The 23,608-nt window shown below is 44.1% G+C and overlaps 1 protein-coding gene across 4 annotated transcripts, besides 2 other annotated features; it reads right to left on the minus strand.

Moving 5' to 3' along the window:
• Positions 1-4,830: 4,830 nt before the first annotated feature.
• Positions 4,831-17,897, minus strand: GEM (GTP binding protein overexpressed in skeletal muscle). Of its 4 annotated transcripts, none has more exons than NM_181702.3 (5): positions 17,783-17,897; positions 15,751-16,090; positions 8,614-8,690; positions 7,597-7,801; positions 4,831-6,165 (listed from the first exon to the last, which is right to left on the minus strand). In NM_181702.3, the coding sequence occupies exons 2-5, from the start codon at positions 16,079-16,081 to the stop codon at positions 5,888-5,890; spliced, it is 891 nt and encodes a 296-aa protein (NP_859053.1). In that variant the 5' UTR covers positions 16,082-16,090; positions 17,783-17,897; the 3' UTR covers positions 4,831-5,887. The 4 variants fall into 4 exon arrangements, with proteins under 4 accessions (NP_859053.1, XP_047277642.1, NP_005252.1 ...); XM_047421686.1 differs by having other exon boundaries at positions 4,831-6,343; NM_005261.4 differs by having other exon boundaries at positions 17,668-17,897.
• Positions 15,854-15,997: a silencer, noted in NCBI's record as "fragment chr8:95272504-95272647 (GRCh37/hg19 assembly coordinates)". NCBI's record gives its function as "represses an EF-1alpha promoter that drives an FKBP-Casp9 reporter gene in an ReSE screen in K562 erythroleukemia cells {active_cell/tissue: K562}" and the evidence as "EXISTENCE:reporter gene assay evidence [ECO:0000049][PMID:32094911]".
• Positions 17,139-17,208: a silencer, noted in NCBI's record as "silent region_19365". NCBI's record gives its function as "represses an Ori minimal core promoter by ATAC-STARR-seq in GM12878 lymphoblastoid cells {active_cell/tissue: GM12878}" and the evidence as "EXISTENCE:reporter gene assay evidence [ECO:0000049][PMID:35858748]".
• Positions 17,898-23,608: the final 5,711 nt, after the last annotated feature.

The raw sequence follows: 23,608 nt of genomic DNA on the forward strand, positions 1-23,608 counted from the left end.
TACTTCCTCATTTCCCCAGGGTTGGACTGGATGATTTACTGATGGTTGGGTAGAGTCTCTTGTCGTTTTGTGGCTGTCTCCTATCCAGTCACACGACTGGACTCCATATCTTACTCCAGCGCAATCTTGTCACCAGGGCCTTGGCCAGGGCTTGTGTCTGGCCAGAACGGCTCCCTTTCTCTCCTGCTGTCATTTTGTGTTGCTCTCTGGCTATTGTGGGCATCAGGCCTCACCACTTTATGTGCACTTCTCACAGAAAACCTTGAATGCTGCTGGACACGTGTGCTAAGTCCAATAAGCACAGCAAATGCACATGCTGGGCTGAGGCTGCCCCTGACGAAGGACTTCCTTCCTTCTGCCTGAAATGCCTTACTCACTACTCCTTTGCTTGGCTGTTGCAGTAATGAATGTCTTCTTTTTTCTTTTTCTTTCTTTCTTTTTTTGAGACAGAATCTTGCTCTGTTGCCCAGGCTGGAGTGCAGTGGCACAATCTCAGCTCACTGCAACCTCCACCTCCTGGGTTCAAGCAATTCTCCTGATTCGGACGAGAGTCCCAGCGTTGCGGTGGCTTCCTCATTGGTCTCCCTGGGTGGGTCTCATGACTCGGTTCCTGCCAGGCTCAGCCCTTCTGGGCGATGTCCTGAAGCAGCACCACTCTAATCTGTCACACCCGTGTTTAGAAATATTCAAGCAGCTGCATTACCTTCCAAGCCAAGTCCAAATTTCTCAGTTTGGAACTCAATGTCTTCTACAATTGCTTCCCAACTTACCCTTACAGTTCACTCGCTCTCCACCTCTTGGGCAAACAATAAATTGATAAGTTAAGTGCTTTACATTTCATCCTAATGATATTCCTATAAGATGTGTGTTATTATCCTTGTTTTTCAGATGAAGAAATTGAGGCACATTAAGATTGACTTGCCCTAAGTAACCCAATGTATTTAGTTTCTTGGGGCTGCTGATATTACCATAAACTCGATGACTTAAAATAACAGAAATGTATCCTCTTCCAGTTCTAGAGTATAGAAATCCAAAAATCTTGATGTTGGCGGGGCCATGCATCCTCTGAAGGAGTTAGAGGAAGATCCTTCCTTGTCTCTTCAGCTCTGGTGCTTGTAAACATTCCTTGGCATTGCAACCCCAATCTCTGCATGGCCTTCTTCCCTCTGTGTCCCCTCTGTGTCAAAATCTCTCTTCTTTCTCTTATAAAGGCACCACATATTGGAATTAAGGTTCACCCTTAATCCAGGATGATTTCGTTCTGAGATCCTTAACTAGTACATCTGCACAGACCCTATTTCCCAATAAAGTCACATTCTGAGGTTCAAGTGGACACAAATTCTGGGGGAAGACTGTTTAACCCACTACACCCAACAAGTAAGAATTTGAAACTAAATCTCTCAGGCTATCAAGCATCATACATTAACACCTTCACTTAACGCCTCCCAGAAAGCTCCCGGCCAAATTGGACTTCTCTCATTTTTCTATATAGATTTCTCCCTTTCCTGCCTCTCTGTCATTGCTCATGCTATTTTCTTTACATAGGCCAGTTTTTCCCTTTTTCTTCCTTTCAACCAATCCTACCTGTGGAAATCTTGTGTAGTCTTCAAGATGAAGCTCAACATCACTTCCTCTAAGAAGACATCCATGGGCCAGTGCAGTGGCTCACGCCTGTAATTTCTGCACTTTGGGAGGCCAAGGCAGGCAGATCACTTGAGGCCAAGAGTTCGAGATCAGCCTGGCCAACACAGTGAAACCCCGTCTCTACCAAAAAATACAAAAATTAGCCGGGCGTGTTGGCACCTACCTGTAATCCCAACCACTCAGAGGCTGAGGCAGGAGAATTGCTTGAACCCAGGAGGTGGAGGTTGCAGTGAGCTGAGATCATGCCACTGCACTCCAGCCTGGGCAACAGAGCATGATTCTGTCTCAAAAAAAAAAAAAAAGAAAAAGAAAAAGAAAAAAAAAGACATTCATTACTGCAACGCCAAGCAAAGGATTTTTCTTCCACCAAAGCTAAACTGCCTTACAGCACATGTCTCCGATGGCCCATATTATCTTCAACCTCACGTTCTAGGTTTCTGTGCAGTTGTCTCCATTCCCTACTACATCTGCTTCCTGCCACTGTTAACTATATTACAAGCACCTTAAAGGCAAAACTGCCTCCTCCCACCATGTGTTCTCCACAGTACTTTTCTTAAGCCGGAGCTCCACAAATTTGCCCAAGTGAATTTAGAATCATCTGCATCTTTCTCTGCATTGAATAGTTCATGTATTTGTAAGCAAAAATGTAGGATGCTTAAAAACTCACCTTTCCCCAATGCTCCCACTTTTCCCAACTGGAATTTTTTAAATGGCCCAATTTTCTTTTCCACATCTAACTCAATCATCTTAACAAACGTTTTCATCATTTGAATTTTATCTAATGAATAAAAATTGAGTCCCTTCCTGGTATAATCCTCTCACAATTTCTTTATTTTCTTCCTATCACCAGTGCTACCTCCTTTGGCTTTTCAGGACAAATTTATTACTCTTGAGATCTCTGAGGATGAGGATAATATCTTAGCCATCATTATATTCCCAGCAGCTGTTAGCACCTGGGTGTCCAATAATATTTGAAGAATGCATGAATGTGTGAAGGTGTGGATGCTGCACTAGAGCAGGCAGAGTCAGTGCTGTCCCTGAGATGATGACATAACTTTTGCAGGTCTCACATAATCCTTACCACAACCCTATGAGGTGGGCATTCTTCCCATGTTACAGATGGGAAAACTGAGGCTATGAGATAGTAAAGAACTTGACTCTTGGCCACACATCCAGTAAGTGATGAAACCAGATTGAAACCCAGGTTTGTCTAACCCTGGAGCTAAAGCTCTTAACCAAAAATCCTCTTGGATTGGATTGCAGCCGGCATTATCCTGCCCTGCTTCAAGCCAAGGGAATGTGATCATGACAACCTTGAACATACCCTTAAACCTGGAGCCTTGGCATCTGTTGGCCATTTGGTTGGGAAGGTCTAAAAGAAGTGATGAGGAAGCTTGAGATTGTGAGAAAAATAGTGTAAAGAATATATATGCATTTTGTGTGTGTGTGTGTGTGTCTGTGTATTCTGTGTATAGGATGATACCTGGGGATGAAACAGGCTGTGTTTATAGGAAAGTTTTGGAGATAAGAATATACAAGTGACCAGGAGTCACAGGTGGACCTCAGTCCTAGCTCAGACACTTAGCATCTGAACAAACTTGGACAAGTCATTTATCCACCTGAACTGGTTTGCTGTGAGATGGCCTATTGACCTCACATAGGTGTTGGGAGGATCTATGAAGCTCAAGAAGAAAGTTCGTAAAATCCCAGTATATGCAGTGCGCTGCACTGATGAGTAGAAGGGTAAGGAGGAACAGAGTGGTGGTCCCTGATTCAAAGGAGTTTCCATTCAAATTAGGGGAAACAGACATGTAAAACTAACTCTAAATGATACGGAATGGAAAATGTGCAACCATGAAAAGGAAGATCTCTTGAGCTCTTTACTGTATGGCAGGTTAAAAGATGTTAATCTCACAAAGATGTTAACCTTACCAAGTGGGTATTATTAGCAATCCCATTTGGTAGATGAGAAAACTGATAGCTAGAAACCTTTAACCTTTACTCCAAAGCCATGTTGCTAAATTCCACAGCCAAAATTCACCCCAGATCTATGTAACCTGAATCTTTACTTGTATCATCTCCCCATGCTATTGCCTTGAGCAATTCTAAGATGCAAAGTGCAGAGAGATGGGAACCTTTGTGCTCAACTTGGAAAAAGGGGAGAAAGGGCAATGAAAACAGAGCAGACACCCTTTAAAACTGCGTGGCTTTAAGGCCAGGCGTGATAGCTTGTGGCTGTAATCCCAGCACTTTGGGAGGCCGAGGCAGGCGGATCACCTGAGGTCAAGAGTTTAAGACCAGTCTGGCCAATATGGTAAAACCCTGTCTCTACTAAAAATACAAAAATTAGCCTGACGTGGTGGTGCATGCTGTAGTCCCAGCTACTTGGGAGGCTGTGGCAGGAGAATCGCTTGAACCCAGAAGGCGGAGGTTGCAGTGAGCCGAGATCACGCCACTGCACTCCAGCCTGGGTGACACAGTGACTCCGTCTCAAGAAAACAACAACTGTGTAGCTTTAGGGAATGTCTGAAGTCCCATGATTGTCACCATCAGTGTGTGTCTCACTACAAACTCAAAAAGCTAGGGAGAAGAGAATGAAATAGGGTGCATATAGGGCCAGAGAAGATGTGAAGGGAGAACACCAGAAGTTCCATTCCAGCAAAAGGGCTGCATACGGCCGCTGGATAGATGCCAAGTGATTAATGTCAAGCCATATTAATGTCAGAGAGGAGAATTTGGTGAAAGCTTTGCCTGGCTAGATCTCAGGCTGGAAATCACTAGATTCCTTTATTTTATTTCCCCCTAATCCTTTATAACTTCCTCTAATGCCTTAGTCAAGCTTAAGACCATCAGCCTCCAGGGAGCAAAGTGAAGCCCATCTGTTCAGTCAGGCATTTGCCAGACCAAAGTAAAAGGTCAATCTGGCTTTTCCTATAACAGCATTGAGATGACCCCAAATACTTCCCAACGGTATCAGCCAAAAACAACTTTGCATTACCGTGAATCGTGATTTCAAAGCAGAGATGTCAGGGATATCCTTTAAAACGGATAATGACTGGGCTATTGCTAGTGAGAAAAAGAAAGAAAACAATAGGCATATGTCTCTTTGGAATGTGCTTGCTCTAAAGGCTGTATAAAAATAATCCTAATCATCTTGTTTGGGGAGGAAAATCAATCAAGAATGCCTTTTTTCAAATATTTTATTTCTTTTATTATAAGACATATAGGTAAAAACTTGCATATTTTGAAAAAGATAGAAAATGGTAATAAAATGGATATTTTTCTTATTAAGAAATATGTTCATAAATATGCTTTATCAAATGTTAAAATGGTTATTTTGCAAAATAATAATAAATAGAGCAGAGCTGTGACATACAAGGGTCAACCAAAGTACTGGAAGTTTTTATGCTATATGTTTTATAAAAATTCAGACTTCTGATTATACATTAAAAATTGACATTTTGCACTACAGGGTATCAATAATTCTGATTTTAAAAATATTTTTATGATGGCTCCATGAATTCAAAAATAATAAAACATAAAAGGTGGTTTGACTAAATAGAATCTGATTCAAATAATTTCCCCCTAAATAAGAAATTGTAAGATATAATTTTTGAGCCTATAAGGGACACATGTATCAGTTCCCAATTCTATATGTCTTGGTGGGCATTGAACAAAAATTGTTTGCTAAGCCTTTGTTTCCAGCAAGGTCCACATCATTTCTTTTCACAGTTTGATGGAGCAATAATAGTCACGATTCTGATGAGCCTAGTTCTACAATTCTAGCTCCATGGATCTTAGATTCGTAGAAAGTTTTCCCTCCTTTGAAGAAACTCATTGACAGCTTTCTTATATTTGTTTATGACTCATTGGCCTCAAAGTCACATATCAGAACACTGGGAAAAATTTTTAATGATGAAAAGTTCTTGTTCTAGGCATTCTTTGTAAGCTTTACTTCTCTACTATCCAAAATAGAAGAAACACATGTGAACACCAAACACATCCTCTAAAGAGTCTTGGGTGTTCAAATAGCAAGGTCAGGCTTTTCCTGGAAATAAATACTGACTTTTTACAAAAATCTTTCATTTCCCATGCATCATGTTGCCCACAAGGCTAATACGCTAGCTCCCTGCTACAATGGGGGAAACCACATCTAACTTAAGTATTCAATCTAATATAGATTATTGGTCCCAATGGCCTTCAACAACGGCCATCAAAGGGACATCTGGGTGACCCTGGGTTCCTAGAGTACAGAGAGGTCATGGCAGGATTTGGACTTGAGCTTGAAGGCCATATTCTTGTTGTTTTTGGCCACGATCTTGCCCCAGAAGCGCCTGGCTTTCCTGGGCATGCTCTCCTTCCTTTTCTGGTAGGCCAGCCGCCGTTCATTCTTCTCCTTGCTGTCCCGCCGAAGGCGCACCTGTCGCACAATGCCCTCAAACAGCTCCTTCACGTTGTGCTGGACAGCTGCAGAGGTCTCGATGAACTTGCAGTCAAACACCACTGCACAGGCTCTCCCTTCTGGGAAGGAAAGAAAGAGGTCAGAGGGACTGCAGAGCACAGTCCCACATAGCACACAGTCAAGCTGGATGGTTCTTCGAGGTAACACTAAGTCAGCTGTATATGCAGTGGATAGAGGATGCTGCTGCGGCATGGGCCCTCCCAGGGCATGAATAGAAAATGTCTCACTGGAGGGTCCCTGGAAGTAAGGGAGATGGGCTTTAGATCTGATCCCCCATAAATTCACTGTCTGAAGGTCCCATTTCATCAAATATAGTGATATTAGTTATAACAGTAAAAGCCATACCCTTAATTTACTGCTGACTTACAATGTGCCAAGAACAAGGCTAAGTTCTTTATAAACACTGTTTTCAATGTCCACAACAATCTTGGAAAATACATTATTATCCCTGTCAAATACATGAAGAAACCGAGGGGAGTCTCCTCTGCAGGTGAAGTTCACACAGCCTGTAAGTGGCAGTGAAGCCAGGTCTGCTCAGTTCTCAAGCCCATACTCAACTCTTTCTCCTGACCCAGTTTCCAGAATTGGAAATAAGAATTCTACTGCTTAGCTTTCCTCTCTTTTAAAATAAAAATAAAAATAAAGCAATAATGAGATATCTTGGGAAAAAATTGAGAATTTTACAAATGTGTAATACAGTTAAATTATACAAGCTTTTCTGGGACAGTCTCAATTTCAAGTATTTCATTGCATTCAATGACCATGCATCAAGTTTTGGTTTGGAAAAAAAATGATTACTGTAGACAGTTGTGTCCTAGTAGGAAGACATTCCCAAACTAGTGTGTACATTGTCTTTATCAGGTGTCTTTCCTCCTGAGCAGGGCCCGGCAATGTAGTATTTTAGTTTTATAATTGTACCAGGATCAAATCTGAATTAGGCCAGTAAAATCTCAAGGGCTATAAAAGCACTTGGCTGCCCACTCAGCAGATAGAGATTTTCCCTGAGCTAAGTATGAAGAAGAATATGTGACCCCATCAGACTGATGCCTCAAATGAAATTTCAGAAGCCAGGGATGGGGAGTAGGAGAGTAGGACAGTGTTTCTAGGGCTCACAGGAACCAGAGTCAGCCAGAGTAGAATTCTTTTTCCTCAATGAAACTCTTTCTCACAGTTCCCCTAAATCAGAGTTCCCTATCCTCCTTGCATGAAGATGCTACTTTCATTTCCCTGTACTCTTGGGAATTCCAGGAAACTCCTTAAAAGCGGGAGGATTAGTATCCTGCAGGTAGACCAGATGGACAAGGGAGAACAACTAGTGTGGAGGAGACCCACTGGGACTGTAGGAGTCTGAGAAACACACCTAAAATTTCATATAGCATCTTAATGAGTTCCTAGATCCAGCCTCGTGGAAGGAGGGAAGAACCCGTGTCTGAAGGAAAACACATGTGATCCAGCGATTGTTTCTACAGTATTGGCTCTGCTCCTCTTACCTGATACAGACACTTCTCGGCACCGCACTAAGTCACTTTTGTTGCCAACCAAAATTATGGGAATGTCCTCTGTCTGCCGGGCCCTGCGGAGCTGGATTCGCAGCTCAGATGCCTTCTCGAAGCTCGCTCGGTCTGTGATTGAGTAGACAATCAGGTATGCGTCCCCGACCTGCATGCAGTGGTCATGGAGCCATTCATTTTCCCCCTAATGAAACAATAAGATCTTCTGTGAGTTCAGTTAGGCCTGGGGAATAAAGCATCAGTTTGCAAAGAAACAATATGTGTATCCTAAAGTACACTTGCTGATAGGAAAAATAGGAAAAAGGAAGAAAATCGCTTCCAACTCCCTAAAAGCATTGGTCTTCTATGCCTATAAGATGTCTGGTGGCTGTAAAGATTGCTAGCCTGTCCAGTATTTATGCCAAAAAGTTTTCACTTTTCAGTATCTTCTACAGCTTGATTTGATAAATTACACAACTTCTCTGCCAAACAGCATTTCCAATTTCTATTTAATCTACCAAAAATGAGCCTTTTCTGACTTCCCAAAAACTCCCTTTTGCCTTTTCCAAGTGATGAGATTAAGAACACTTTTGTGGGACTAGGAGGGTTTTCAATTAACAGAAGTCTAGCACATAGGTTCTGAAGCTTTTTAAAATCTTTAAAAAGCCAATGTTGAAGACTGGTATTGAGAATCTCAACTTCATATGAGATGGATGTATGTTATTTAAAATAACAGTCAATGCCTGTTTGTATTTTCCCTAAAACAAATAAACTTTTTGGGTGTGTTTTTTAATAGAACTAAAGGCAAGTCACTACAACTTGCTTGTTATTCAGAACTCATCTGTGAACGACCTGTTCCTTAGAACAGTCTCATTCTTCAGCAGTATGCTTTTAATCAAGAAAATGAGCCCACCTCATCTGGAACACCTACTATATAGGACAAGGTCACCCTTGCACCAAACAACTTGTTGAAAGGAAAGCCCTAAAGGAATTTAGAGAGCTACAGGCTCTGCATACCTTATTTTCCCACATATCCAGGAGTATAATCGTTGCACTTTCCCCATCAACCATCAGGGTTCGTTCATATGTATCTTCTAGAGAAGAAAGAACAAAGATATTGGAGTCAGGCGAATATGCAACACTTCTCCATAAGAGGGTCAGGTAGAAAATTGTGCTAGAACATAAACTTACTAAATATGCAATTAATTATGTAAGTATACAGATATTTTCAAAGGCAAATTACTATTTTTTGTCACCTTCAACAACATTCTACATATAATTCCTCCAGTCCTTATCCAGCAGAACGTCTCTCTCGAACATGTGTCACTAAACCACATGGAGTAAAAGGCATTTGTTTGCATCATTCCTGGACCTTTTGTATGGCAAAATCATTTGTGAGGATAAACTTACTCAAGAGCTTTTGACTCAGATTCAATGGTTAATGCTATGAGGAAACATTAACCACCCAGTGAAACTGTAAGCCACATTTTCATAAGTCCATTGTACCTTTCAGTGGGTAGTTACTGAATACTCACTAGCAATTTCAGGAGCTTTGGGCTCAGAGACATTGCTCCTCTTCGGACAAGTGCAAGAATGAATCTTGAGACTCTCCCTGTTTTGGCTGTAGTTTTCTTCCTTTTTTTAAAAAAAATGCTGTTCCCTAGGAATAAGTGGGCTTGTTTTTCCATCTTGAGTATAATAGAAATGCAGCCTCCAGCTCTACTTGGTAATGGAAACTTTCCTCCCTGCACTTGAGCCCAGATCTTGTGTAGGTGAAGGGTGAACACAGTACAGTACAATGGGCCAAAGCAGTTCCAGCCTGGAAAATCCATGGGGGGCAGGCGTAGAAAAGGGGTACAGTGGGATTTTTGCAAGTGGGATTTCCCTCATCCCAATACCATTGAGCCCATCCCCACTCTATTTTCACAATGAGGTTTCCTGTTTTGAATTTCATCTTTTGAAAATTATGACTTTCATAATGATTTATCATTTTTCTTCTGTTCTTTTTGTCTAGAATCTTTTCCCTCAAATACCCACAAGGCCTGTTTCCTTACCTCCCTCTGGGGGAGGTGCTTCCTGGCCATCCATTTAAAATTGCAACACTTCTATCCCACAATATTCCTTCTCTGCTTTATGTTTCTCCATCTCACTTATTGCCACCTAACATACAACACATTTAACTTACTTATTCTATTATTTTCTGTCCCTCCTGCCCCTCTCGTAATGTTAGGGCAGACATTTGCATCTATGCTGTTTACTGTGTCCCCCAGCACATTGGTACATTGCTGGTGCACAATAAAGTTTGTACAGTGAACGAATGATAAATATAGCATTGTGGCTGTGAAAACAAGCAAACCTGAATTCAAATCCAGGTGCCATCCCTTATGAACTCTGGGGGTCTACGCAACTTAGGCTCTCTGAGCCTCAGTTTTCTTCATCTGTGCAATGGGATTGATAATAGTACTCACACCTTAGGGCTATGTGACAATTACCTGTATTAAGCCTGGGCACAAAGTAGAAACTCAGTCAGTGTTAGCCATTATCACTTCTTCAGGTGAAGGAAGCTGGTTCTTGCCATACTCAGCACTTCCTCACTACAGATAAATCCTAGCTTAAGAGAGCTACGTTGGAACCAGGGCACTTCTTGTTTTACAATAGCGAGCAGTTTACGAAAAACACTGCTCCTGGTTTAATGCTTCATCATCTAAGAATTGGAATCAGGAGAGGTTTCCCTTCCTTAGAGAAGGAAAACTTGGACAAATAAGAAGAGAGTTAACCAGGCATGGCCCTGTCTTTCTGTGAGTTTCCCCACCTCCCACAGCGTCATTCTTCTAATCAGTAAGTGTTTGCCCTTGGGGAATTAAAACTCTGTCTCGCCCATCGTGTGCCTGCTCACAATATGCAGAAGGAATGAGATCACAGTGGGACTATTTGGATTACCAGGGGTAGAACCTCACAACCTCAACCTGTAAATTAGACAACGCAAGGGAGACTGTCAGAGCCTGAGCAGCACAGAACGGGGATGGCCTGACTGCTGCTTCCCACCACAGGGTTCTTAGCTCTTCTCTAAAACCCCTCCCTGCACTCAGACAACTCCTTCAATGATGGAGGAACTTTCTCAGCCCACCACTCAGGTACAGGGGACTCGCTTGAGTGCCCAGTCATTCAAATAGAAACATACTGTGTTCCAATCGCTGACGGAAAAGGAAAACCCAACTTTCTCCTGGCTTAAGAGATATCAGAACAAGTCTAGAGAAAAAGTGGACTAAGGATCACAGCCATGAAAGTAAAAACATGCTTTCCCGTTCTAGAAGCTTCCTGACAGGATCATTCTGTCTGATCTTACCTTTGCCTGAAAATTACGGTGTTGGAGGCCTGGGAGGCTAAAACAATCCATCTCCTCCCTGCTCAGCACGTGTGCTCCCCACTTTACCCCCCACCCCAGTACATGAGTTTAGATACGGCCTCTGGCTGTGTGCACCAGGACCCTTCCAGCACACATGGCATCCCGACTGAAGGCTCTCCCCTAACCAGGTGCAAGCCTGGGAGTAACCAGAGCTCCAGGTTTCTCTTCATCTAAGTTGCTCAGCTCATCTTTTATCCTTTTCAAGTGCTAATCAGGTGAGAAGAAGGGAAGGAAAAGAATACCAGACTCTAGGAGAGCTCTTTGAAATCTGCTTCCAGTAAAGGTGTGGAGAAAGGTTTGGATACTGATTAGTCTCTGTGAGGCTTTTCCGTAATCTGGGTCTGGAGACACCCCTACTTCTCCAGTGCACTGGAAGAAAGCTGGGGTGTCTGTGCACACTCTATGTAGCAAAAGAACTCATGCTGATGGGGACAGACAGACGTTCTATAAGGGGTGATGGTGGTCAGTAGCCACTTTCTCTAGACCAGTTTGTCTTTCCTCATTTGATCCCCCTGACAGACTCTCTCCCTGACCAAACTTTAGTCAGGCTCCTCTGAATCCTCTTCTCTACCCGGCCTCTCCCTGGGCTTCCGTTTCCATCCTGGCAGAATTCAGCTTTAGCAAGAATCCTGCTAAGTCAGTTTAGTGAGAATCCCCCACCTTCAATATCTGATCAAATTCCTCACCCACCACCTCTGATAGTCTAAGTCCTTGGCCTGACTTCAGCAAGAATCCCCCTAACCTTGACGTCTCCTCTTAGTAATTTTCCATCCTCTGACCCCCTCCCACCTGCTCCTTGGCCTGACTTCAGCAAGAATCCCCCTAACCTTGACGTCTCCTCTTAGTAATTTTCTATCCTCTGACCCCCTCCCACCTGCTCCTTGGCTAAGTGCCCACTTGTTCTTCTTGTACTTGGAATTGAGCCCCATCTCTCCCCACTATTGGGATGCCTACTGCAATGGCCCTGAATAAAGTCTTCCTTACCATGTTAATAATTTTTTCGTTAACACTCCTTGTGCTTGGAAGTGAGGCCCCTTCTGCCCAAGACTGGCTCAAGTGCTGTGTGTGTGTGAAACCCGCCCAAGTGTTCTCTCACTGCCAGAACTGACTCCTGCAGCACCTCTAAAGTTCTGAGACTCCAGCATCCCTCTCCCTGAAAACTTTCAACTGCTTCCAGCTTTCATAGCTCAGGGGATCCCAAGGAACCTCAGAAGAAATGCCTGCTCTACAAATACTGTCCTCTACTCTACTGGCCCCGGTCCCCTCTGGACAGCTCCACGGGCCCCAGCCAACAGTGACCAAAGTGGACAGGGGCCACAAGCAAGGAAACCACCACTTTTGAAAGATAAGCACATCAAAAGGAAATGGTAGATTCAGAATCAGCTCTAACTAATGCTCATTTCGTACTTACTATGTGCCAGGCACCATGCTCCATGCTCAACATGTTATATCCTTTAATCCTCGTAACACCCTATGAAGGAGGTATTACCCCAATTACACTAATGAGGCAGCTTGAGGAGGCTAAGTGGCTTGTCCAAGAGCACCCAGCCAAGTCAGTGTCAGAGCTGCGTCTAAACCCATCATCAAACCCCAAGCCCAATGAGACTTCCGTACTTTGCTATATATGTGTGGTGTGCCTTCCCACCTAGCTCAGGGCTTCCAAATCCTAGTTGTCCCTAGGGTCCAGTTCAGAGACCATCTCTTCCATGAAGCTTTTATTTATTTTATTTATTTTATTTTATTTTTATTTTTATTTTATTTTATTTCATTTTTGAGATGGAGTTTCACTTTTGTTGCCCAGGCTGGAGTGCAATGGTGAGATCTCGACTCACTGCAATCTCCACCTCCCAGATTCAAATGACTCGCCTGCCTCAGCCTCCTCAGTAGCTGGGATTACAGGCACATGCCACCACGCCCGGCTAATTTTTTGTATTTTTAGTAGAGATGGGGTTTTACCATGTTGGCCAGGCTGGTCTTGGACTCCTGACCTCAGGTGATCCACCTGCCTCGGCCTCCCAAAGTGTTGGGATTACAGGCATGAGCCACCATGCCGGGCCAACCATGAAGCTCTTAAATCCACAGTCAGAGGTAATCTTTTCGCCTCGGAATTCCCACAGCACTCTCCTTACACCACTTTCAAGACATTTACCACATCCTATCTCAATTTCTACTTGGTGTATACATTATGCTCCATTGCATACTGTGAGCATCTCCGCAGAAGAAGCCCCATGACTCTTTGCATGTCCCCAGAGTGCCTCACCAAGCTCTGTGCTATACATTCAGTAACTTCTTAGGAATGAATGAATGAATGAATGGCATTCAGTGTATACAGAGAGTCATAAGATTACTGTAGTGTAACTGTAACAATATCCATCTTTATTAGGAGAAATCATTATGAGAATATTATGTCGATTTTTTTTCTTACAGTGAATGCTGATTTAAAAAAAAAAAAATGTAGGGGTGTGCCTTAGAAAACCTTCCTCTTGGGAAACAAAACCAACTAGTGATTCCAGCAGGTCCTACAGATTCTCTGTGTAAGAAGCTAGGGAAAGGATTCCCTTTCTCTCATGATTGAACCCAAATCCTGTGTCTTTTCATGGTCCCCTGCGGCCCCAGGATCAGCCATATGCCTGATGCCCAATGTGCTGTCATATTGGGCATCTCTCTCTCTCTCTCTCAACAAAGAAGTTCCCAAAATATCTGGGAAGGCTACCTTTCCAAATTCCAGGTATGAGTCAGTCTTCTTAACATTTTATGCCTATGGGAATATTACCCTCTGGATACATACAACTCCATTCTAATGGACAAACATTTTTGAAAGTCTACTATCCACTAACTTTTTTCAATTCTTCCCTCTTAAAAACAAAAAACAACTCCCAGTCCATCTCTTCCTTATGTCAACGCCCAAAGCACTGTATCGTTACTGCTTAAAATATTAGTTAATGTGACCCTGCTCTGCAACATAGCAACTAACACTTAGCTCATTACTAGGGGGCATGGTATACCTCATCCATCGCCTTGTATCCCAGAGCTTAGGCCAGAGCCAGGTGTGTGGCTGATGCCCAATGTGCTGTCATACTTAGTATTTGGAAGCTAAATCCTGGGGCTGCAGGGGGCTATGAAAAGACACAGGATTTGGGTTCAATCACAACTAGATTTGAATCCTGGTCATACCATGTACTAGTTTTTTCACCCTGGGAAAGTCACTTGACTTTGTAAGCCTCCATTTCTTCACCTGTCAAATAGGTATATTAATGCCAGATTGATTCAAGTATTATCAAAAATATGTGTGGGAAGTATTTAACACAGTGCCTGGCACATAGCAAGTTCCCCAGAAATGGTAAAATGAACTGAACTAAGATGATAAAATCCCAAATTCTAAATCCACCTTCCTTATTGGGTGATTCTGGATAAGGCTTTTGATCTCCCTGAGACTTAGTTTACTCATGAGTACAAGAACTTTGTGAAGACCAAAATAAACAGCAGCAAATATAAGGCACCTAACAAAGTGCCTCTCCCGTTGCAAACATTCACTCTAAATGCTAGCCCCTTCCTCCCGTTTCTCTTTCCTAGCAAGTCACCTGGCAGCCTTTACAAAGAAAGAGGGAATCAATTGTACAACACTGGCCCTATTTCTCCCTTTACTCTTCTGAGATTCCAGGAGTGAGGAGAGAAATCAATGTTACAACAATGAGTCATTATTTATAGCCCAGTTCCTGAGCTGCCTCATGAGGCAGTGAACTCCTTGACACTGAGACAATCAAGAAGAATAAAACCTCCAGATGAGATGGGCTGTGGGTAGTGAGGAATAACATTAATATGCATCAATGCAGGGGAGAACTGAGTCATCGCTAAGACACCTCCCTACTCTGTGATTCAGTTGTGAGTCGCGACAGAACACAGACCATGTGACTTGGGGAAACACTGAGCAGTGCTTCCTTTATTTCTGTAGCTGCAAATAGGGACATATAACTACCCTGGTCGCATACGCTCAGACTGAAGCTGTGGCTGAAAGACACTTTATGGATGGCATTGGCTATCAGGATCCTCATATTACTTAGCAGAACATAGGGCTGTGCTTTACCCCTAGCTGAAGAATACATGCATTTTGAGATAATGTCACCTCAAAACAGTTTTGGAAATAGGCCAGGCTCCAATCAATAAATAGATGAAATTGTACAGGGAAAATTGTCTTGAAAAGCTGTCAGACTCTATAGAAAGTTTCATTGTTATACTTCACATTTTAAAAAATTATTATGCTATTTCAAATACAGATTTTGAACTATTTAACACCCACAAAACTTTCTAATATTGGTGGAAGCAAACTGATCAAGCCATCCTAACAGCTTTTCCAACTGGCTTGTTTTAGGTATAACCATGGAAAAAGGCTGTGTCTATACTGAGTTCCGGGAAGAATGTTCAAGTCAGAGTCAGCAGAAGTCAAGTGGGGCGCTGACCCTCTGGCTCTGCCCTCTCTAATCAGCCTTCCCCAACCCATTTAGAATTGGAATCTGAAGAATTCCCTTTCTGGCCCAGGATCAACAGATTTTGGTCCTGTCTACAAGCATTTTCATTTTCTTGCCCGAAAGCCTGTGCTTGGGCTTTTCTAGAGACTCAGCTCCCCCATCAATTGTCCAAAATGCCTAACTTCAGCTCCCAACTCTGTGGGTAAATAAGTCACCCACCCTCACTCTTTCTTCCTGGGCCACCCCTGGTGGAAAGAAGCCCACTGGGGCTGGGACACCTACCTCCCAGCACCTCGCAGTCGCTGTCCATGCTGTCATGCACACCTGCAAAGATGTTGGCCAGAGTGGACTTGCCCACCCCCTGCTCCCCTATGAGCACCACTCGGTAGTAGGTGTTCCCTGACTCAGAGGAGATGACTGAGTCTGTGGAGTCAGAGGACCAGCTTCGGCGGCAGTGGTCCTCAGGGGTAGCAGAATGGCGGTTGCGGTGGCTGTACTGGTGGGGCTCTTTCTGGACCATCAGATGCCTGCCATCAGCTGGGATGCTCCAGCGCTGCTGCTGTGGCTGCATGCCCACAGTGCCCTGGCGCATGGTGACATTATTCAGAGTCATCGTTGAGTCCTGGGGAGCAAAGCAGCCAAGATGGCAGCATTAGTAAGCATGAGTGAGAGCTCCGCTCAAATACATGGTCAGTCATCAGTAATATTTTATTAGATGAGATGAGAAGCAAGTATCCCTAACATAAAGACCACCAATTAAACAGTCCCCCAAACCCCAACAAGACAGGCTTTCAACTGGACACACACATGCTGCCCACACTGTCAGTAACCAGCTCCTCAGGCAGACTATCATTTGCATGGGAAAACAAATACGGTTAACATCACCCACTGCCCATGGGCTTCCCCCTTCCTCAAAGCAGACTTGGATGAAAGAAGAGCTGCACTCAGAGCTGGCACAAAGGCAGCTGGAAAGAACCAGCAGACTCCAAAGATGGCTTGAAAAGCAACAAGTTAATGTTGCTGGGGACCAGCTGGTCAGGTTAGCTGCTCTTGTCTAAACTTGGCTCTTAATTGCACCAGTGTCCAGCAGGTTTTGTGCCTCAGTGGGAAACACGTGGCAATGACATCACCCTCCCCTCCCCTGCCCACTGCAACCCTGGCTGGACTGGACAGGCACTTATTGGAACTTCCATGTTTAGTAAAGTTGCCTTGATGCTCTCCAGCTGCCTGGAGAGCATCCACCTGCCATTATTGGGGGTAGGGGGGAAATTTTCTGTTTAAAGTTTATGCCTCAGCTGTGCCCTCTTACCCACAGATACCACTTTTAAAACATCCCGGCTCCAAACCTAGACACCCTGGCAGAGAAATGACCTGCTCATGTTCAGACCTATGAAATTTGCAGAGAAAGTGCCTCATTCTTAAAAAACCACATCCATTCTCAAGAGTTCTTTAATTCAACTCAGATTCCTTTTTTGAGTCAGGGTCTTGCTCTGTCACCCAGGCTGGAGTGCAGTGGCACGATCATAGCTCACTGTAGCTAGCCTCCAACTGCCAGGCTCAAGAGATCCTCCACTTCAGCCTCCCAAGTAGCTGGGACTACAGACCTGCACTACCACGTCCACTAGTTTTTTTATTTTTATTTTTATTTTTTGGTAGAGACAGTGGCCTCACTATGTTGCCCAGGCTGGTCTCGAACTCCTGGGGTCAAGTGATCCTCCTGCCTCGGCTTCCGAAAGTGCTGAGATCACAGGCCTGAGCCACCATTCTCAGATCCCCTTCTTGAAGCAAATCAGAAGGCTGAAGACTCCCCTAAATGATATTCAACAACTTCTCTACAACTTTCCCTTTGCAGACTGCCTCCCCTAGCCGGGAGGTCTGTTTTTCCGGCTACTGGTGATAAAGTATAAGTACTTACGTTGCAATCAGCAAGATGCACAAACACTCCTCTCCCACCCTCACCCCCACACTCCGTACCCCAACATCTCGCCACTAACCAGGACGACCAGCCGGTTTTTTAGTCTCAAAAGCAGCACCTCAGTTGGCAGACTTACATTCAAACAACAAATACATAAAGCATCATTAAGGGCTGCCCTCTCTGACCACTCGATCTGTAGAGGGAGGTGACCCTTCTACCGAATTGAACTAAGGAACCTGCTGATGAGAAGCGACATCCTTTGCACTTGAAGCTCTGACCCCTACCAGAAAATCCCAGTGCTGAGCGCACGTTCCAGGGGTTCTTTTCTCAACTTCGAAAGTTCTGCGGGCTGGGAAACTCCCACTCTCTCCCTTCTCCGTCTCGGGCCGTCCCCCTTACTTGGCTCGGCCGGATCGGCGTCGGGGCGTCAGCGTATCGCGTGGGTCCGCGCTGGGATACCCGGGCCAACGAGCGGGGAGTGCTGCGCTGTGCCCGCCGTCCTTGCCCGCCGCCTGCAGCCGCCGCGGCCGGGCGGTTTATAACCAGCCCAGCCGACCCGCCGCGGGGCTTTTCCGTGACGTCAGCGCCCCCGCCGGGAGGGGGCGGCTCTGCAGCAAACTCGGAGTTGCAGCCACTTGGCTAAATCAGTTACTCGCAGTCATGTGACCCCTTCTCTCTCCATTTAAAAAATAATGACAGTTCAATCCTGGGCCTCCTTTATTTTGTTTTATTTTCTTTTTACCAGATGAACACAGGAAAATGGAAAAATACACTAAGTGACACTTAATCGTCCTTCCCAGCAAAGCACTTGCGAGCTGTCGGGATAAAGGATGGAAGGGAGAGGCAGGTTTGAGTTGAGAACTCAGTTTTGCCAAGAAAACAGAGATCAACCTGGAATGCGCAGAGACTTTAGCCTCCAGGATGAGACTGCAGCCACCTTGAATAGCCAAGGCTTGTTTTAACCACATCTTCTGCAACGAAGACAGCCTTGTCACCTTCTTCTGGATAGGGGGAAGCAGATGGAGCCCCACAAGGCTTTGTTTCCCTTCTCTGGCAAGGACCCAGAGAGAAGGGGCCAGAAAGAGGTGAGGAAAGAGGACAAGACCTTGAAAAGGGCAGTTTGGAAAAACAATTTAATTGAGGATCCAAGCAGATTGTGCTAAATATTGCTGGCCCTCCTGCTCTGGGCCAGAATGCTGAGGCTCCTCAATCAGGGAATTTAATCAGCATCCCAATCAGCAGCATCTCTGTACCAGGCTCCCTGGCAAGGCTACGCCTTGGGCATGAGCCAATACAGCCTGGCCATGGGGAGGAGCACTGAGACCAACACCCCTGTAAGAGACTCCTGTGAACAAAGGGCACAGGATAATAACTACTACTACCATTTATTAAGTACCTCTGAGGACCTCTGCTTAGTAGGTACTGTTAGGCCTCCTGGGACCTTAATCCTTACTATACTTCTGCAAGGTGGCTCTATTTCTACCCTCATTGTATGGAGGAGGAAGATAACATAGGGCCAGAGAATTTGCCCAAGGTCACACCGCTGGTATAAGTGGCAGGGTCAGGACTCAAAGCCTGGTTTTCCTGAGTCTCTGCACTGCACCACCAAGTGAAGGATTTCAATGACCTCTTTCTGGGGACATGGGTATTTCCCAGATGCTGTGTTTAGAGATGATGCTGGCCTCTCCAACATATCTGCTTTTCCAGCCAGCTTCAACTCTGGGTTGGCTGGTGGCTCCGGGAAGCAGCCAAAGGCACCAGCATCTATTGAAGCAGCTGGACTCTGCTGTGATTAGAGTCAATTCACAGTTATCCTGCAGGCATTTATCTGCTTTGAGAATTAGCTACATGACCAGCTGCTGAGACCTGCCAGGTCCCAAGCTAGCAAAGGTGGAATCCATAGAGTAATGAAAACTTAGAATTCCTTTAGTCTCAGGTGTTGTGGCCCCAATCTCCTACTTATCTTATACATAAGAAACCTGAGACCCAGAGAGGAGATGACCGCTTAGGACATGACAGAACTGGAACTACAACCTGGGGATCATAATTCTCTGGATGCCCTTTGCTTCTGTCAAGTTTTTCTTCTGGGTTTCGCTGACAGGAAGTGGCTACAGATGTGGGGAAAGGAAAAGGAGAGGAGATGGGGGGTGGGGGAGATCATCTCCAAGAGTATATCACTGACTCCATTCTAAAACACATGTAATTGATGAATAATCCATGTTTCAAAATGATCCATGCTTTTTCCATACTGACACTCCTACTCTGTCAACTGGTCTCAACAGAAACATCATAGGAGTAAAAACTAAGAAGAAATCAGTTTATAAGCATATGATATAGTTCCTCAGTTCTACTTTTGCCGATTGATAAGAATCTAATACTTCACATTTATAAAAACCTAATTCTGGCCAGGCACAGTGGCTCACGCCTGTAATCCTAGCACTTTGGGAGGCTGAGGTGGGTGGATCACGAGGTCAGGAGTTCAAGACCAGCCTGGCCAACGTAATGAAACCCTGTCTCTACTAAAAATACAAAAAAATAGCCGGGCATGGTGGTGGATGCCTGTAATCCCAGCTACTCAGGAGGCTGAGGCGGGAGAATCGCTTGAACCTGGGAGGCAGAGGTTGCAGTGAGCCGAGATCGTGCCATTGCACTCCAGCCTGGGCGACACAGCAAGACTCCATCTCAAAACAAACAAACAAAACAAACAAAAAAAAAACTAATTCCATACCTAGGCAATATCTACTATGAACTATTTGTCATTGGTATATGTGAAACATACAAAAGAAAATGAACTCCAGGGACTGGGGAAAGGGAAGGGGCACACAGCAATGTTGTGTTTGGATAATAGAACAATTTTTAAATTTTTTAAATTGTCTGTCTCACAAGAAGCCACATGAACACAAACAAGAACACTACTTAAGAAGAGTCTTGACTAAAAGTTAAGTTTGAGTAATTATTTAGAGAAAAATCATAGTTATACTTCACAAAAAGCACATCTGAGCGCCAAATCTCATCTAGCCAAGTCTCAGATCCCTCGACCAGGATTCCAGCTCACTGGGATCATCTTGAGGGTGTGGAGCTGGAGAGAAAAGGTAGAATCAGGGCATTTGGGTAAGTGGCAAGTTTTGAAGAGGAAAAATTGGCAGAAAGTTGTCTTTTGTTCTATGAATTATTCTCTCCATATTCTTTCTGCCAGCATTTGAAGGCTTCCTCAGTTTCTAGCTACAATGAGTAGCTCAAGAGTATAGCAAAGAGGCAGAATTCAAAGCAACAAAAATAACTCACATTTACTTACCAAAATGCATGCCTATCTCAGCTAATCCGCATCACCCCTACAGTTACCCATATTCTATGGGGAAAGGTGCTGAGGAATGAGGGTTAAATAACCAGCCCAGGGTCACAGGGTGGTTAGGTGGCAGATGTGTACTCTCTGGGGCCACAGTCTTAACTGCTGTTCTATTTAGAGTAGGGGATATACGTCAGTCCTCATTCCCATACTAGCCCCACCTTGGCCTACCACCTTCCTAAAACCCTCAAAGGAGAAGTTTTTGTCTGATTGGCCAAAGCCCATGACCTTCACTGGGCCACCTGTTCCTAGTGGGCCGAGTTACTCTACTTAAAGGCATGAGCCATCCTTTCCTCTCTCTTTTCTCCACATCCCTGCCCTAGGGCAGAAGGTGAAGTTGGGGTCTGTTTGGGGACTCTGCCTACTACTCTGCCACTGTCACTGTCACTTAGCATGTAGACTTGAGCAACCAGTTCCCATGATTTCAAATAGGATGAGAAAGGAAGGAAAGACGTAGGGAAAGAATAGGACCTTTGACCAGGGTTGTAAATAAGGGCATCTGGGACTTGCACAGACATTAAGATAATATTACTTTGAATACCATGTCTTGAAAACTCTAAGAGAGGAGAGATGATGGGTAGGCTCAGGATCTGTACATGCCTGGGTCCATTATACTATTCTAAAAGCTGTAATTCTATTCCAAAAGCAACAGAATCTAAAAGCAACAGAATCATCTATACTATAGACTTACTACAACCAAGGTCATGCTTGCCCAAGCCATCAAGTAAATGCTACTCAGTGGTAAAGGGGACACCATGCAAACGTTCTCCCTTTCCCAACAAGGAGGTAGATTATAGACTAAACACTGAGTAAGAAATAAATTAAATGGGTTTTTTCCTATTATTTTTTAAATGTTTCTTTTTTTCTTTCTTTCTTTCTTTTTGTATGTTTTTTGAGAGACAGAATCTTGCTATGTTGCCCAGGCTGGCCTCACCACTCCCAGGCTCAAGTGATCCTCCAGCTTCAGCCTCCTGAGTTACTGGGACTATAGGTGCTGGGCTCTGTTTTGCATTTTAATGCCTTTAGGCAAAGCATGCCGGCCAGTTTCCCACAATCCTTACTAATCCTTAATATATTCTACTCCAAGCAGTTTCATTTATACTATCTACCTGGCCCCTAAAGGCATTTGACTTTGGGATCTTTGCCTGGGCTGAAAGAAATGGTAGGGGATTTAACATCAGAAAAGGAGGTTCAAATCCAGGCCTTTCCTCTTATGCATGTGATGCTGGGGATGTCACCAAGCCCCAGAGGCCTTGGCTTCTGCTGTTCTGAGGACTAAAGAGCTATGGAATGTGGAAGTGCTTGTTAACCACGGAGCACTATGTCAATAAGAGTGATTATGATTATGACGCAGGAGCCAAGGATTGAAGCTTAGCCACCTGCCCTCGGTTTTGCTGCCTCTTAAGGCTCCAGCTAAATTAATCCAGCAGAATTCAAGACACATGGGGTGGAGGGAGGATGGGCGAGAAATATGCTCATATTAGATGTTACTAGGAAAATATCATTAGCAAGGAGGTTGTTGTAAACAAGAAGATGGAGGCCAAATACCCAGCACACATCATAGGTCTCCACCAGCCACAAAAACATTCAGGGGAGGAGCTGGGTGGGAAGCAATTTGCAAAGTGTCTGAGCACAAAAAGAACCACCCACCAACTTTGGGAAGTCTAAAGAAGGAAAGAATTACTATATGGAAAATCATTGCTTTAGAGAAGGGGGATAAAAAAGCCTTCAATCGCAAATTCAAGAGAGGCCTGATTACAAGAAAATAAAGACAGAAGAAAAGATGGCTAAGAATAACGTGTCAGCATCCAGAGGCCTGTGAGATCCAGATGGACAGCCCCTCCAGCTGCATCCTCCCCAGACCAGCCCCCAGCTTCTCATCAGACTCCTGCTGAGCAGATTGAATTTTCCATTGAAAAAATTCTTAGCTATCACCCCTCCTTCCCTCCATTGGCCCAGCCTGCTGCAGGCCTGGAGAGTGCCAGTGGCAGAGATAGCTAGAGCCCTTCCTTCTAAAAGCTTGCAGAGTAAGTGCAGAATGTATCTTAGTAGGCTGGGAGGAGCCTCCTAAAGAAAGCAAATGTTTTCTTCCCAGGCTCCCTCCATCCATCCACATTCATTCATTAAACAACAGATAACTACTGAGAATCTACGTTATGTAAAGACCTGTTCTAAGGGTTAAGAATATGATCCTTACATTCACAGAACTTCTACTCTGGTAGGAGAAATAATAAATAAAGAAATAAAGTATCACCATGTTCAGTCATTCATGCACTCATTCTTTCTCTGAGCATGCGACCCTTTAGCCTCCATTTTCTCATCTGCAAATAGGGAATGATAATACTGAAAGGAAGTATAAAGTAGGGATTAAGGGCATACCCATTCAGAGGTCTGACAACACCCAGGTCAGTGAAAATGTAAAGAATGGAAGCTCTCATGCCCAGCAGGTGGGAGTGTAAGTTCGTAAGGCCACTTTGGAAATCAACTATCAACACCTAAGATGTGCATATCCTTTGAGATCCAGCAATTCCACTTCTAAATGTACATCTTATATGTTACAGAAAAAACAAATACAAGGATGCTCATGAAAGCACTGTTTGCAATAGCAACAATCAGAAACCAACTAATGGCCATCAATGAATAAATGCATTGTGGTATATTTACACAATGAAATAGTATACAGCACTGAAAATGGATGAAGTAGATCTACTTGTATCAACAGAAGTAAATGTTGAGACCATATGGTAACTTGAAGAAGCAAATTGCAGGATATCAACAGGGTAATACACTATATAATTTTTACATACCACACTAGTGTTTTATGGTTAAATACACAGTTAGTAAAAGGATAGAAACGAGGATGAGAAAAATAGACATCA

Source organism: Homo sapiens, chromosome 8 (genome assembly GCF_000001405.40).
Source record: "Homo sapiens chromosome 8, GRCh38.p14 Primary Assembly".
In the NCBI taxonomy this organism is placed as follows: domain Eukaryota; kingdom Metazoa; phylum Chordata; class Mammalia; order Primates; family Hominidae; genus Homo; species Homo sapiens.

What these genes read in the sequence shown, in the direction of transcription:
- GEM (NM_181702.3), bottom strand. Translation starts at nt 16,081, where the DNA reads ATGACTCTGAATAATGTCACCATGCGCCAGGGCACTGTGGGCATGCAG. An exon ending in CGACTGCGAGGTGCTGGGAG is followed by an intron (nt 8,691 to 15,750) that starts GTAGGTGTCCCA and finishes TTTCTTCTCTAG; the next exon opens with AAGATACATATGAACGAACC. An exon ending in CCGAGAAGTGTCTGTATCAG is followed by an intron (nt 6,166 to 7,596) that starts GTAAGAGGAGCA and finishes TTTCCTTCCCAG; the next exon opens with AAGGGAGAGCCTGTGCAGTG.